This window comes from Homo sapiens, chromosome 1, assembly GCF_000001405.40.
Source record: "Homo sapiens chromosome 1, GRCh38.p14 Primary Assembly".
NCBI lineage: Eukaryota > Metazoa > Chordata > Mammalia > Primates > Hominidae > Homo > Homo sapiens.
Genome location: NC_000001.11, coordinates 2,257,757 through 2,273,222, shown reverse-complemented (window position 1 = coordinate 2,273,222; position 15,466 = coordinate 2,257,757). Strand labels below are relative to the sequence as shown.

Below are 15,466 nucleotides of genomic sequence, written 5' to 3'. Positions count from 1 at the left end.
AGGGGCCGGGAGAAGCATGGGGCTTGGAGAAGGCAGCATGGCCAAGGCCCAGACACCCCCAGGTGGGTCTCAGACGGCCGAAAACACCCCCTTGGTCTGTTCCCGAGATGAAGGGCCAAATGGCCTCGGAAGCCATCTCAGGAAGAGCCGTGTGGCATCTGCACTGAACGCAGGTGGCACCAAATGTCTCCATGGAGGCGGGGTACAGCCTGTGTTTCCAGGGGCTCTTTGGGGCCAGCTGATGACTTTTACTACTGCTGGGACAGTTTCTCTGATTTAAGACCCAAGGTGCCTACCACCTCCCCCTCCGCCTGGAAGAAGCACAGACGCCAGCGAGCCTCGGGGGCAGGAGGGGCGTGGGAGGGCGAGGCTCGGGGCGTGGGAGGGGGAGGCTCGGGGCGTGGTGAGAACTGCCTCACCGGTCCCAGGGTCAGCACACATAGGCCGGGGCAGGGGAGACGGGAACCAGACTCCAACACGCTATTGACAGAACACTAAGGCCTCAACAGGGAGTTTTGGTTTTGATAAAAACATTCTACATTAAGGACACCATTTAAAATACATGGTTGTATTTAATTTCAGGGGTTCTTGGCAATCAATTACAATGCAAAAATAGGAACCAGTTCACCCTCCATTATTATTTTTCTAAAGTCACAAAGGGCTTCCCCGAGCCTTGGCAGGACCAGGGCTTGTGTAGCCTGTGGGGGAAGGAGGCCCCCAGACCACAGGGACGGCCACTGCCATTCAGTGCCGCTGGGAGCTGCAGACGCTGGGCCAGGGCCGTCTCCCCAACCCCCCAGCGGAGGGCTCCTGTGGAGGGCTCTGCCCCTCTTTCCACTGCGCTGGTTTGAGGGGGCAGCACGGTCTCAACACCTCTGGTTTCTATTTATGCTAAACCTGGAAGTCTATGTGTGTTTTGCTTAATTTTTAACACCATTTTTAAGCTACTAAGACATTTAAGCTTGGTAGCTAGGCTCAGACCTTTCAGTGGGTTTTTAATCCCCGGAAAGGCCGGCCCTCGTGGAAGCTCCAGCCCCGCCCATCTGTGCAGAGGGCAAGAGGTCGTGAGAACGTAAGAGACAGCAATAAAAATCGGGGCAGTGACCTTTTGACCCGGCCTCTTTGCAGGACGCAGGCCTGGAGAGAGAGCAAGGTGGCCTGGGGCGGGCAGGGGCCCCCAAGCCCCTCCGCTCAGTGCCCCTGCACCTGCCCACAGGGGCAAGTCCTCCCAGAGGAGAACAGCTGCGAGAAAGCAGCCAGTGGCCCGGAGTGTCTCTCCCAGTCCCGCCAGCCATCCACGGGCCAGGACCAGATGCATCTTCAAAAACCACTTTCTGGAAGCATCACCAGCCAATCCTCCCCAGGATGTCAACCTCTGGGGCCATCGCACAATGTCAGAATCTCCTGGCCCCTCGGCAACAGACCTGGACGTGAGGTTGGGGGGAGGCCTGCATGAGTGCTCAGAGGGTCCCCTTAGGCCACCAAAAGCCCCCTACCCCCCCCCAGGGGACCAGGGCCACAATCCCCGCCCTGGGGCGGGCCCGCAGGGACAGGCAAGGGGCCCCAGGCAATGGCGGGGCTCAATGGGACAAAGGTTCCCGAGGGGCGAGAGCAGCGTAGCACAAAAGGCGAGCGTCTGGGGTCAGCCCGGGGCAGGGCAGCCAACACAAAGCCCCTGCCGAGGGCAGCCGGGCACTCCGCGGAACCTGCCAGCATCTGAGCGCTTAATCGCCACGCTGGAGGCCGTCTGAGAGAGGGACATTGAATGAGTCTTCTTTAAAAGGGGGCTCCCAGGGGTGACACCAGCCCAGGCGCCACGCGGCTCCATAACAGGCTCCTGTGGGGGACCTCTCCCGGCGGGAGAGGCTGCCTGGTTTCTCTGGCCTGGACAGGGAGCAGCCCCCTGCGGCTCCCCCACCGAGCAGACTCTTCTGAGGGGAGGACAGCAAGTGTTCTTCAGTGAACAAAAGCCCCTGGAGCCATCAGGGAGGATGTGGCAGGGCCTGACTGGGAGGTGGGAGTGTCCAGGCCTCTGTGCTTCTCAGGGACTGTCCCGGGACCCTGGGGTCGCCAATCACAAAGGAGCCCAGGCTTGTGTGCACCCCAACACCCATCAGGAAACCCCAAGTTCTGGGGTGGGCCCAAGTCGCGCATCCCTCCAACCCCCACAGACCGTGCAGGTCACACCAGGCCCCAGCCCACTCCTCACTGGGCCTCAGTCATCCCCACAGCCCAGGCCTGAGGCCAGGCACTTGCGGCCATCGGCTCATTCACAGGGAAAGCGCCTGGCCTGGTGACATGGGCAGCTGGTCCAGCCTGGGGTGGCCCGGGACAGGGCCAGGTGCCCTGGGGCAGGAGAGGGACAAATGTGAACTTGTGCACCTCCATGCTGGTCCTCTGGAGAGTCCAGCAAAGGGACAGCAAGGATGTCCAACAGCCAAACAGCCCTGCCCTCGCCCCCAGAGTCCAGGGGCCCAGAGGAAGGGAAGCGGGAGGGGCTGGCCAGGTCCAGTCTCTGCTCCCGCCCCACCTCCAGCCCCTCTGGAGAGCAGGGACAGCCTGAACTTTTCACCTTGGGTTCAGACACCCAGAGAAAGGCCGTGAGGTGTCTGCCCGGGAGGCACGGGGAGTGCGGCCTCCTCAGCCGGCAGCTTGTTTCCCCAGCGCCCCCTCAACACTGCACACTGCCCGTTTTACAATCGCCAGATGGCAGCCCAGGAACCACAGGCCTCCCATTACCCTGTGACCGCCTGACCTCTCGTAAACGGGACAAAGCCCAGGCCCTGTGGCCACACCCCCTGGCCTGTGAGGGACCAACGCAGGGGCTTCAGGTCACCAGGGCTGCATTCAAGATGGGCACTGTCCAACGGCTGCCTCAGGCCGTGGCGTCAGAGTGGTGTCACCAGCATCTCTCAGCCCCTACTCCCATGCCAGGCCCGCAGGGAGGATAACACGCAGCAGGTCCAGGACCGAACCCAGACGCAGCGCCAGCCAGTGGGCCCACCTGCCCTTGCTCTAGCTCGTAGACAGATGACCTCTGTCCCTCTCTTGCAGCAAGGTGCTGGCCACACTTTACTGCCTGGCTGTAGGGGACAATGACCAGGGCACAGCACCCCTGGGCAAAACTCCAATCCGTGGGGGACAGGCAGGCTCATCCATCGGCAGCCTGATGGCAGGCACCACCAAACATGCCAGACCCGCCAGACCCACGCCAGCCACAGGCACCACCAGACCCGCCAGACCCACGCCAGCCACAGGCACCACGAGACCCGCCAGACCCACGCCAGCCACAGGCACCACCAGACCCGCCAGACCCACGCCAGCCACAGGCACCACGAGACCCGCCAGACCCACGCCAGCCACAGGCACCACCAGACCCGCCAGACCCACGCCAGCCACAGGCACCACCAGACCCGCCAGACCCACGCCAGCCACAGGTACCACCAGCCACACACTGCTCTGGTCCAGAGCCCTGAAGCAGCCTCCTGCCAGCCCTGGGCCCGGTGCACAGCCACGTCCCCACTGTCCCTGGTGCCCAAGGCTGGCTTAACAGCAACCAACAAGGAAGGAAGGAGGAGAGGTCCAGGGCCAGCCATGAGGCGATTCCAAAGTTGGCTTCTGCCCACAAAGCGACGCTCCAGGGCAGCAAAGCTCCTCACCACACCTGATAACCAGGCGCCACTAGTGCGGGCCTGGAACGGGGATGAACCCAGCCTGCAAAACGGCTTTGCTTCACAGAAGGCCACAGACTGCTGAGGACGGACATCCCACGTTGGGGAACGTGTCCCGCAGTGTCCGCTTGGCCTACTAGTGACGCTGTGGGGGCCTGCAGTGTGGCCACTTCCGTCAAAGCTCACATCACTGCAAAACCCACTGTCTCTGTCCTAACAGCCCCTTAGTCACTCTCTGGCTCTGCCCAGTCATGGCCAGCGGTGCTTTCTTCCCAGGGCTGGATCTGCATCGAGAATCAAACATGGGCCAGGCACGGTGGCTCACACCTGTCATCCCAACACTTTGGGAGGCTGAAGCAGGAGGATCGCTTGAGCCCAGGAGTTCTAGACCAGCCTGGACAACATGGCGAGACCCCATCTCTACCCAAAAAATATAAAACGTTAGCCAGATGTAGTGGTGTGTGCCTGTAGTCTCGGCTACTCATGAGGCTGAGGTGGGAGGATCACTTGAACCAACAAGGTTGAGGCCGCAAGACTGTGCTGCTGCACTCCAGCCTGGGTGACAGAGCCAGAGCCAGACCCTGTCGAAAAAAGAAGAGGGAGAGAAGGAGAGAAGGAAAGAGAGGGAGGGAGGGAAAAGGGAAATGGACATGGAAGGGGGGAAAGGATAAAGGGGAAAGGCAGAAGGGAGGGAGGGAGGGAAGAAGGAATCAGAATACGGCAGCACAGCAGCTGGGGCTCTCTGGGTGGGGCCAGAAGGCACAGTCGCTGTCCCCACCAGTCCCCACACCCACTCCTGTCATGGCCTCTCCCTGGACTGCACCTACAGCCCCTGGGCACGCTGCTCTGCAGCCCTCACAGGCCAGAAAAAGACTCCAAGCCTCATTTCTCCGTCAAAGCTGAAAATTGGGTGAAACTCCATGGTGAGGGAAAGGGGGACCTGTCAAGCCAGCCAAGAAAATTCACCTTGTCTCAGCACCAGCCAAATGGGCCATGGCTGCCCTGCAGTGACGGCTCAGCACCGCTGGGGAGGCCAGAGGAGTCCCCATGCACCCAGACATACCCCAAGGTGGCTTATGAGCCCCCGGGCACCTGACTCACTACCGTGCCCCCTTAACAAGAGGCCCTCCATCAGCGCCACGCAGAGCCTGCAGGAAGCACGGGTGTCCCAGGCCACAGAGCACCAGGACCCCACACCCGGGCCAGGGTGCAGGGTTCAGCCCACCCAAACCCTACCAGGAGCCCTGAGCCCTCTGAGACACCTGGCTACACAGCCCCCTGGGAGGCACTGGAGGGGCAAGAAAGCACACAGTAGGAGCAGCAGGGAGGCGACGCCGGCCCCCAAGGATGGGCGACAGCAGCGGCAGCACAGCCACCCACCCACAGAGCCAGGGCCCCGCCGCACAACCCAGGGGGCACCTGGGCCAGGGCTGCGGGCGCCATGCATCTGACCACAGGGGTGGGCACCAGCTCCACGCAGTGCTGTTGGGAGTGCCCTGGCCTGTGGGAACCTGCTTCTAAGGGTGAGTAGCGTCCACAGAGGGGTGGCGGCTGCCCAGCCTGGGAGGCCTCTGCCCGGCACCCACAGAGCCACGACCACCACAGCACACAGGCCCCGGGTGGCACACAGGACCTCCAGCCTCCCACTGGAGGTGGCCTGAGGTTCAAGCTGTGACCTGGAACCAAAGTGTGACTTTCAAACACATCTCGCAGGGCATGCAAGGTGTTCCTGCTCATTTGGAGACCGTGTGACCGTGGACCCGTGTCCTGGGACAGTCTGGAAGTAGAAAGGCCCATGCATCAGCCTCACACACCTCAGGATGTCCCAGCTGCGTTTCCTGAAGCCCAAAGGCCGGCTGCATCCCTGAAGTGTGGTGCGCCCCCCGCCCCCACAACAAGCCTTTCCCAGGCCTCTGGCCACTGCCCAGCTTCCGATGAGAGCAGAGTGCAGTGCTGACCACGTGGCCCCTAATGCCCCACTCCCTCAGTGCCCTCAGGCCTGGCCCAATCCCAAAGCCATCCACCACCCCTTCCACCCTGAAAGGAGGCTCTGGAACGAATGGGATATTGAAGCAGGAAGAGGTTTGTCTCCCGACAGCACACGAGAGGACGTGGGACATTCCTGTCGCACCTGCTCCGGCCCGAACGGCCCTGTCAACACACCCCTTCCTTGCTCCTCACAGGATCAGACTACCTGGAAATGCCCACAAACAAACCCCAGAACTCCACCGCAGCCCGCGCAAGCTGAATTCTGAGTGGTACGTGCTAGTCCCCCCTTTCCTGACGGCTGGCCCACAACTGCTATCGTCGCCTGTGCCTGCAGATGTTATTAAGAGCGATATGGACACCAAGCTTGTTACAAAACCAGTTCAGTGCTGGCTCGATGCAGTTGCTCGCCTGAATAGTCAAAATCATGGCACTTTGTTCATAATCAATTCCCGCTGAAACTGAAAAGGCGGTGATGAAGATGTTAACAAAACGAATTTAATGTAGCCAAAATTATTGCAGAAGGAAAACACATCCGCTCACAATGGATGTGCCAGTCAGCACAATTCAGCGATGTTTTTAAACCTGCTGCCACGGAGCGTGATTTGCCCACCTTCCTCCCTGAAGCAGAGGCCACCCTGAGGGCCTCCAGGGCCATCTCAACATTTCCAGTTACTTTCGCTCTTTCTATCTGAAACTTGGCCCTGAGCAACTTTCTCCCACAACAAGAGCCTCAGCCTAGAGGGGAGCCCACGAGCTACAGATATCCGGCCGCTGTGACGACAGCACCATCTTCATTTTCTATCTCATTTTACAAATGGAGTGGATGAACGGGGTGGCTGATGAGAGAAGCTGGAGGTCACTCATGGACTGCGATGCCAGGGCCCGCCTGCAGCCAAGGTGAAGTCACAGAGACCCATCACCCTCCTCCCTGGAAAGGCCAAAAACGCAGACAAGACAGGAGATGGGAGACAATGGCCCCAGGGACCCTGGAGGTCAGGCAGCAAAGGACGGTGGTCCCCAAAATTCAAAGTGGAGCCAAGCCCTCTGGCAGCCCCAGCTCACTGCCTCCCGAGAGTTCCCAGCCATGGTACAGGAAGCAGGACCCAGGCAGGGCCCAGCAGAAACTGGGTTGAGATGGAGCTGACAATTCAGGGAGAGCATGGCGGCTGGAATTCACAGGACGGAGCAGCAGAGAAGGGAGCACCACACAGAGGGCCTGGGGTCTGCAGAGGCCCCTGGCAATTCCGCAGACCCCAGATCACAGTATGTATGTGCAGAAACTCCACGAGGCTGGGGAAGAGTCACCCACAAAGATTTAGAGACAACAGGCCTGAGGCTTGCACCAGGCTAGGCAGAGAGCCTGTCTCCACCCGACAGACAGGAAATTGCCCAAATTCATGGGGTCCTATGTCTCTCAGAAGATTCTGCCACAGGAGTGGTGAATTATCAGGCCTAGAATGAGCCCTGAGCCCAGCTCTAGACCCACCTAAAAAAAAATCACAAAAGCAAGACTCAAAAGGATCAAGCTGCCTCCAAATAACTGAACGCAGTCTAGACAAAGCTCAAGATTTTTTTTTAATTTTATTTTTTTCCTTGAGATAGGGTCTGGCTCTGTCACCCAGGCTGGAGTGCAGTGGCGCGATTGAAGCTCACTGCAACCTCCACCTCCCGGGTTCAAATGATCCTCCCACCTCAGCCTCCTGAGTAGCTGGGACTACAGGTGTGCACCACCACGCCTGGCTAATTTTTGTATTTTTAAGTAGAGACAGGGTTTCTCCATGTTGCCCAGGCTGGTCTCAAACTCCTGGACTCAAGCAATCTGCCCACCTCAGCCTCCCAAAGTGCTAGGATTACTGGTGTGAGTCACCATGCCCAGCCAATTTATAGGAATACAAAAACATTCAGCACCCAAACAGGCACATTTCAAAACGTCTAGAATCCAGAAAGCAAGAAAATGTGGACCACAATGAAGAAAATCATCCATCCATCGCAAACAACCAGAATTGACACAGACATAGAAATTCACAGAGAACACTGGAACTGTTATTACAGTGTATTCCACATATTTAAAAGAGTAAAATAAAGACACGAAAGATATAATATAGTCCCAAATCAAACTTCTAGAGATGAAACATCCGCTATATGGGATTAACCGTGGAGGAGACATTGTGGAAGAAAAGGTTTGTGATATGGACACAGAGTAACAGAAACTACTCACAGGGAAATAGAGGAAAAAAAAGAATCCAGAAGATGAGAAGAGCACCCTGAGCTGACAACATTCACATGACTGACACACGGGCCACCAAGTGCCCAGAGGAGGGACGCAGGAGACACACCTTCCAAACCTGACAAAAACTACACAACGTACTCCAAACACATGCGGCACGGGGAAACCACAGCAAAGTGGCTCAAAGCAGTGACAAAGAGACAATCTTAAAGAAAGGCATGTCCAGCCGGGCGCCGTGGCTCACTCCTGTAATCCCAGCACTTTGGCAGGCCAAGGCAGGTGGATCACCTGAGATCAGGAGTTCGAGACCAGCCTGGCCAACACGGAGAAACCCCGTCTCTACTAAAAATACAAAAAATTAGCCAGGCGTGGTGGCGGGTGCCTGTAATCCCAGGTACGCGGGAGGCTGAGGCATGAGAATCACTTGAACCCGGAGGCAGAGGTTGCAGTGAGCTGAGATCGTCCCACTGCACTTCAGCCTGGGTGACAGAGTGAGATTCTGTCTCAAAAAAACAAAGGAAAGAAAGAAAAAAAGAAGAGGCATGTCCGTCAAGAAGAGGATGAGCAGATCTCTCTCTGGAAGCACGCATGCAGGAACACAGTACAGCAACATCTTTAAAGTACTGAAAATTGGGGCCAGGCACGGTGGCTCATGCCTGTGTAATCTCAGCACTATGGGAAGCTGGGGAGGGCAGACTGCTTGAGTCCAAGTTCAAGACCAGGCTGACCAACATGGTGAAATCCCATCTCTACAAAAAAATAAAACAGGCCGGACGCAGTGGCTCACCCCTGTAATCCCAGCACTTTGGAAACCTGAAGCAGGCGGATCCATGAGGTCAGGAGATCAAGACCATCCTGTCCAACATGGAGAAACCCTGTCTCTACTAAAAATACAAAAAATTAGCCAGGTGTGGTGGCGGGTGCCTGTAATCCCAACTACTCGGGAGGCTGAGGCATGAGAATCACTTGAACCCAGAGGCAGAGGTTGCAGTGAGCCGAGATCGTGCCACTGCACTTCAGCCTGGGTGACAGAGCAAGACTCCATCTCAAATAAATAAATTAAATTAAATTAAACCACAAAAAAAATTGAAACTTTTTGAAGTCAACCTATAATTCTATACCTACGCAAATACCTTTCAGAAACAAAGGGAGAAATGGCATTTTTAGTTGAATTGAGAAAATTACTTGTGTAACACAAACCAGTAACTCTCAACCAAGAACAGATAAACTGAATAGTCTATATAGCTAAAAATCTTCCCACAAAAAACACTCTGGGTCCGAGTAGGTTTTAATGGTAAGTTCCACGAAACTTTTTTTTTTTTAATAGAAACAGTGTCTCCCTATGTTGCCCAGGCTGTTCTCGAACTCCTGGGCTTAAGGGATCCTCCTGCCTTGGCCTCCCAAAGTGCTAGGATTATAGGCGTGAGCCACCATGCCTAGCCCCACGAAACTTTTTTTTTTTTTTTTTTGAGATGGAGTCTTGCTTTGTCGCCCAGGCTGAAGTGCAGTGGCACAGAGATGGGTGAACCATCTCACCACCATATTGGCCAATCTGGTCTCGAACTCCTGACTTGGCCTCCCAAAGTGCTGGGATTACAGGCATGAGCCACCGCGCCCAGTCCCCCCACCAAACATTTTTAAAAGAAAAAATTCTTCAGAAAACTTAGGAGGAAATACCTCTCAAATCATTCTACAAGAACATTACTCTGTTAACACCAAAACCAGACAAAGATACACGGGAAGAAGAAGAAAAAAAAACACACACCAACATCCCTCATGAATATAAATGCAAAAATTCTTGGCAGGCGCAGTGGCTCACGCCTGTAATCCCAGCACTTTGGGAGGCTGAGGCAGGAGGATCACCTAATATCAGAAGTTCAAGACTGCCTGGCCAACATGCTGAAACCCCGTCTCTATTAAAAATACAAAAATTAGCCAGGCACAGTGGCATGCGCCTGTAATCCCTACTACTTGGAAGGCTGAGACAGGAGAATCGCTTGAACCCAGGAGGCGGAGGTTCCAGCAAGCCAAGATCGTGTCACTGCACTCCAGCCTGGGCGACAGAGCAAGACTCCGTCTCCAAAAAAAAAAAAAAAAAAAATTCTAAGCAAAATTTTAGCAAATAAAACTCAAGAGGCCAAACACAGTGGCACATGCCTGTAATCCCAGCACTTTGGGAGGCCGAGGCAGACAGATCACTTGAGGTCAGGAGTTCGGGACCAGCCTGACCAACATGGTGAAACCCTGTCTCTACTGAAAATACAAAAAATTAGCTGGGTGTGGCGGTGGACACCTGTTATCCCAGCAACTTAGGAGGCTGAGGCAGGAGAATCATTTGAACCTGGAAGGCGGGGGTTACAGTGAGCCGAGATAGCGCCATTGCACTCCAGCCTGGGTGCAGAGCAAGACTCGGTCTCAAAAACAAAAACAAAAAAAAACAAATTCAACAATATTCTAAAATAATAATACATCACGACTGAAGGGGGGCTATCCCAGGAATGAACAATTGGTTTAGCATTCAAGAATCAGTCAATATAATTCATCACATTAGTAACCTGAAATAGAAAGACACTCACCATATTAATAATCTCAATAAATTAAGAAAAAAAAACACCTGACAAAACCCAATATCCTTCCTGATCAAACTAGGAACCGTATTCTGGGGACTTCCTCGGACTCATAAAGGGCACTGGCGAAAACCCAACATGCACCATCACACTCGACGGTGCCAAATCCAGATCAGGAGCAAGGGCGTCCACGCCCACCACTCCCACCCAAACTCTGATTCCACGCCTTCCAGACCAGGAGATCAGGAGCGAGGGCGTCCACTCCCACCCAAACTCTGACTCCACGCCTTCCAGATCAGGAGATCAGGAGCGAGGACGTCCACTCCCACCACTCCCACCCAAACTCTGACTCCACGCCTTCCAGATCAGGAGATCAGGAGCGAGGGTGTCCACTCCCACCACTCCCACCCAAACTCTGATTCCACGCCTTCCAGATCAGGAGATCAGGAGCGAGGGTGTCCACTCCGACCACTCCCATCCAAACTCTGATTCCACGCCTTCCAGACCAGGAGATCAGGAGCGAGGGCGTCCACTCCCACCACTCCCATCCAAACTCTGATTCCACGCCTTCCAGACTAGGAGATCAAGAGATCAGGAGCAAGGGTGTCCACTCCCACCACTCCCACCCAAACTCTGATTCCACGCCTTCCAGACCAGGAGATCAGGAGCGAGGGTGTCCACTCCCACCACTCCCACCCAAACTCTGATTCCACGCCTTCCAGATCAGGAGATCAGGAGATCAGGAGCGAGGGCGTCCACTCCCACCACTCCCACCCAAACTCTGATTCCACGCCTTCCAGACCAGGAGATCAGGAGATCAGGAGCGAGGGCGTCCACTCCCACCACTCCCACCCAAACTCTGATTCCACGCCTTCCAGACCAGGAGATCAGGAGTGAGGGCGTCCACTCCCACCACTCCCATCCAAACTCTGATTCCACGCCTTCCAGATCAGGAGATCAGGAGCGAGGGCGTCCACTCCCACCACTCCTATTCAAACTGCCCTGGAGGCCCTAGCCGGTGCCATTAAGCAGGACAAATAAAAAAGCATCCAGACTGGAAAGGAAGAAGTGAAACTGCTTTTACTGCAGACGACATGATCATCTACACAGAAAACCCAATGGCAACTACAATAAAAGCCACTAGGACTCATGAGCAAGTTAGGAAGGTTACAGGCTGCAGGATCAACATATAAGAACTGTAGTGGCCGTTTATATCCAGTAATCGAATTTTTAAAATATATTATTTACAAGACCAAGAAAAAACCTCAATAGATAAATCAATAAATCTGACAAAAGATGGTAAAAACCTGTGCACTAAAAATTACAAAATACTAAATTAATAACAACCCATAAACAGAGAGCTTTCCGTTGGTCGGAAAACTCCCGATTGTTAAGATATTCCCAATTTATCTATGGACTCAATACAATCCCAATCAAAATTTCCCAGAAATGTTCACAGAAATTGACAAACTGATTCTAAAATTCATATGGAAAAGTGGAAGATCCCGAATAGCTGTAACAGCTCTGAAAAAGTGCAGGGTTAGAGCGCGAATATCACCTGACCTCAACAATTATTTCAAAGCTACAATAATCCAAAACAGCATGGCGTTGATGTAAAAAGATAAACAAGTGGATCAACTGAATACACATCTGCACAGCTGATTTCTGACAAAGGCACAAAGACAATCCAGTAGAGAACTAATCTTTACAACAAACTCCACTGAAACATCTGAACACCTTAGGCAAAGAAATGAACTCAGGTCCACACCTTGCATTGCACACAAAAATTAACTCAAAATGGATCACAGACCTAAATATACAACTTAAAGCTACAAAATTTCTAGAATACAGGAGATAATCTCTGTGACCTTGAGTTAGGGACAAAGTTCCCAGCTAGGAAACCGAAGTCCAAACCAAAAGAACAAACTGAGGCCGGACGTAGTGGCTCACACCTGTAATCTCAGCACTTTGGGAGGCCAAGGCAGGCGGATCATTTGAGCTAGAGTTCGCAACCAGCCTGGGCAACATAGCGAAACCCCGTCTCTACAAAAAATACAAAAATTAGCCAGGTGTGGTGGCATGTGCCTGTAGTCTCAGCTAGCCAGGAGGCTGAGGCAGGAGGATCACCTCAGCCTGGGAGGTAAAGGCTGCAGTGAGCCCAGATCACAAGATTGTGCTCTAGCCTGGGCAACAGAACCACACCCTGTCTCAAAAAAAAAAAAAAAAAAAAAAAGAAAAAGAACAAACTGAAAAATTGGATCCCATAAAAATTTTGCAGTTCTACTCTTCAAAAAACACCGTTCAGAAAAGGAAAGCCATGGACAGGGACAAAGTCTACGTAAGGCGCAAATGTGAAAAGGGACTTGCATCCAGAATACGTAAAGATCTCACGAGTCAACAGTAAAACAACAAACCCAGTCTAAAATAACTGGCAAAAATCAGAAGGGACATTTCACCAAAGAAGACATATGGTGGCAAATACGCACAAGAGAAGCCACTCTACGTTCTCAACGATTGGGGAAGCGCAACTTAAACCTCAAGGAGATGCCGCCGCACACCCATCAGGACGGCTGAACGCCTAAGCCCGCCCACCACACACGCTGGCCAGGACGTGGAGCAGCAGGAACTCTCACTCACTGCTGGTAGGACGAGGAATGGTGCAGCCACCTTGGAAGATAGTCTGGCAGTTTCTAAAAGTTAAACATAAGCACAAATATATGATCCAGCCATTCCACACCTAGGTATCTATCCAGGGAAATAAAACCGTGTATCCCGACAACAACTTGTACCCGAATGTTCACAGCCGCTTTCTTTGTGACAGTCAAGAACTGGAAACACTCCACACGCTCCAACGGGCAAATGGAGGAACAAACGCGACATCCACGCAGGGGAACACTGCCCAGCACACGCCACGCATCCAAGGAGCCCAAAATAATGACGCTGAGGGAAGGAAGCCAGACCAAAAGAAGAACATATTGTAGGATTTCATTTAGACAAAGCTCTAAGGAAGGCAACGAATCTACAGGCCCAAAAGCAGACTGCTGCAGCCTGGGGAGAAAGGGGTGTGGGTAGGAGAGAGCTTCTGGGTGACGGACAGGTTCATCATCTGGACGGCAGCGAGGGTTTTATACATGTTTTATATGTGTTTGCATACATCAAAAGTTATCTAACTGTATCTTTAAATATACGCAGCTTATGTTAATTATGCCTCAAAAAGCCGTTTTAAAAAATAACTACACAGCAATCATCCTAACTGCACCCTTATATTCCAGGCTTCATTTGATCTATAGCTTTAAACAACCTCCACAGCTCAGGACAAAGGTAAACTGGTGGCATGAAACCACCACGGCTTCTGTCGCTGACCTCAGAGATGCCCTTTTCCATCCTAAAGAGTTTCACAAAAACAATGTAGCCCTGCGTTACAATTATTCTTTCTCTAGATCAGGAACCTGCAAGTGTTTTCCGTAAGGGACCAAATCACACATATTTTGGGTTTGTAGGCCACATGGTCTCTCTCGCACCTACTCAGCCTTTCTGCTGTGGCACAAAACAGCCACAGACAGCACCGGCGAGGGCGGTGGGGCGTGGCCATGCACCTGTAAAACTTTACCCACAAAAGGAGGCAGGGGTTCCGGAGGAGCCACCATGTCATCTGGGAACTTGCTAGAGATGCACATTCTCAGTCCCTACCTCGGACCTGGGAACCCAGAATTCTGGGGATGGAGCCCACAGCATGTCATTTCAGAAGCCAGCCCAAGATTCCAAACCTTGGGTTTGAATATGCTGGTCTAGAAAACCGGCCAAGTGATGAGCTGATCTGATTTAAAAGGAACACACCCCGAGGCAAACACTCAAGGGCCAGGCACTGCTGACCCTGCTCCCAGGTGGGGCCCTGGGCCACCTCAGATAAAACATGAGCTCCCGCCAGGCACGGTGGCTCACGCCTGTAATCCCAGCACTTTGGGAGGCCAAGGTGGGTAGCTCACAAGGTCAGGAGTTCAAGATCAGCCTGACCAACAAACCCCGTCTCTACTAAAAATTAAAAAATTAGCCGGGCATGGTGGCAGGCGCCTATAATCCCAGCTACTCAGGAGGCTGAGGCAGGAGAATCCCTTGAACCTGGGAGGCAGAGGTTGCAGTGAGCCAAGACCACATCACAGCACTCCAGCCTGGGTGACAGACCTAGACTCTGACTCAAAAACAAAAACAAAAAAAAACATGAGTTCCCCGACCAAGCCACTCATGGGAGAAAAAAAAAAAAAAAAGGAAAATGACACTCCTGATAAACCTGTTACTCCATTTCCTGACTGACAAGTTTCAACTCTTTTTAAAAAACACAATTCTCAAACGCCTCTGCTGTTCTTCCATGACGCCGTAGCACGCTCAGCACAGCCACTGTCCCATCCTCCCTAGGGGGCGATTCGGCCTCGGCATCTAGAATAGGGGCATCTGAGCTGGTCCCACACATACCAGCCGAGACCATTCTATGCTGCAGACACCGAACATACGGGTTTAAGGACCAGGAATCCTGTGTGTCCACGTGTGCATGCACACACATTGTCACTAGATAAAACACCACATTCCAAGACAATAACATCTGGCTGTCCAAAGATTACTTCTGGTTAAAGTCGCAAATAATCAGTATTGCCATATTTCCCTTTATAAAGTACCTCTTCACACTCTTCCTTGCTCAATGCTTAAAATGTCAACATTTACTTAAAATGTTGTGCAGGCTGGGCACAGTGGATCAAGCCTGTAATCCCAGCACTTTGGGAGGCTGAGGCGGGCAGATCACCTGAGGTCGGGAGTTCGAGACCAACCTAACCAACATGGAGAAACCCCATCTCTACTAAAACTACAAAATTAGCCAGGCATGGTGGCACATGCCTGTAATCCCAGCTACTCAGCAGGCTAAGGTAGGAGAATTGCTTGAACTCAGGAGGCGGAGGCTGCAGTGAGCCCAGATCACACCATTGCACTCCAGCCTGGGCAACAAGAGCAAAGTTCCACCT

At 53.2% G+C, this 15,466-nt stretch overlaps 1 protein-coding gene across 5 annotated transcripts in view, besides 3 other annotated features; it reads right to left on the bottom strand.

Annotated features, from left to right (window-relative positions):
- The window catches only part of SKI (SKI proto-oncogene), an 81,895-nt gene that overhangs the window by 36,991 nt on the left and 29,438 nt on the right, over window positions 1-15,466 (bottom strand). The window lies entirely within an intron of this gene.
- Window positions 805-1,767: an enhancer, noted in NCBI's record as "H3K27ac-H3K4me1 hESC enhancer chr1:2202895-2203857 (GRCh37/hg19 assembly coordinates)". NCBI's record gives its function as "activates a minimal SCP1, AML or CMV promoter by ChIP-STARR-seq in naive H9 embryonic stem cells {active_cell/tissue: H9 hESC(naive)}" and the evidence as "EXISTENCE:reporter gene assay evidence [ECO:0000049][PMID:30033119]".
- Window positions 2,479-2,773: a silencer, noted in NCBI's record as "tiled region #2016; K562 Repressive non-DNase unmatched - State 14:Gen5'". NCBI's record gives its function as "represses a minimal TATA promoter and a strong SV40 promoter by Sharpr-MPRA in K562 cells {active_cell/tissue: K562}" and the evidence as "EXISTENCE:reporter gene assay evidence [ECO:0000049][PMID:27701403]".
- Window positions 13,915-13,964: an enhancer, noted in NCBI's record as "active region_51". NCBI's record gives its function as "activates an Ori minimal core promoter by ATAC-STARR-seq in GM12878 lymphoblastoid cells {active_cell/tissue: GM12878}" and the evidence as "EXISTENCE:reporter gene assay evidence [ECO:0000049][PMID:35858748]".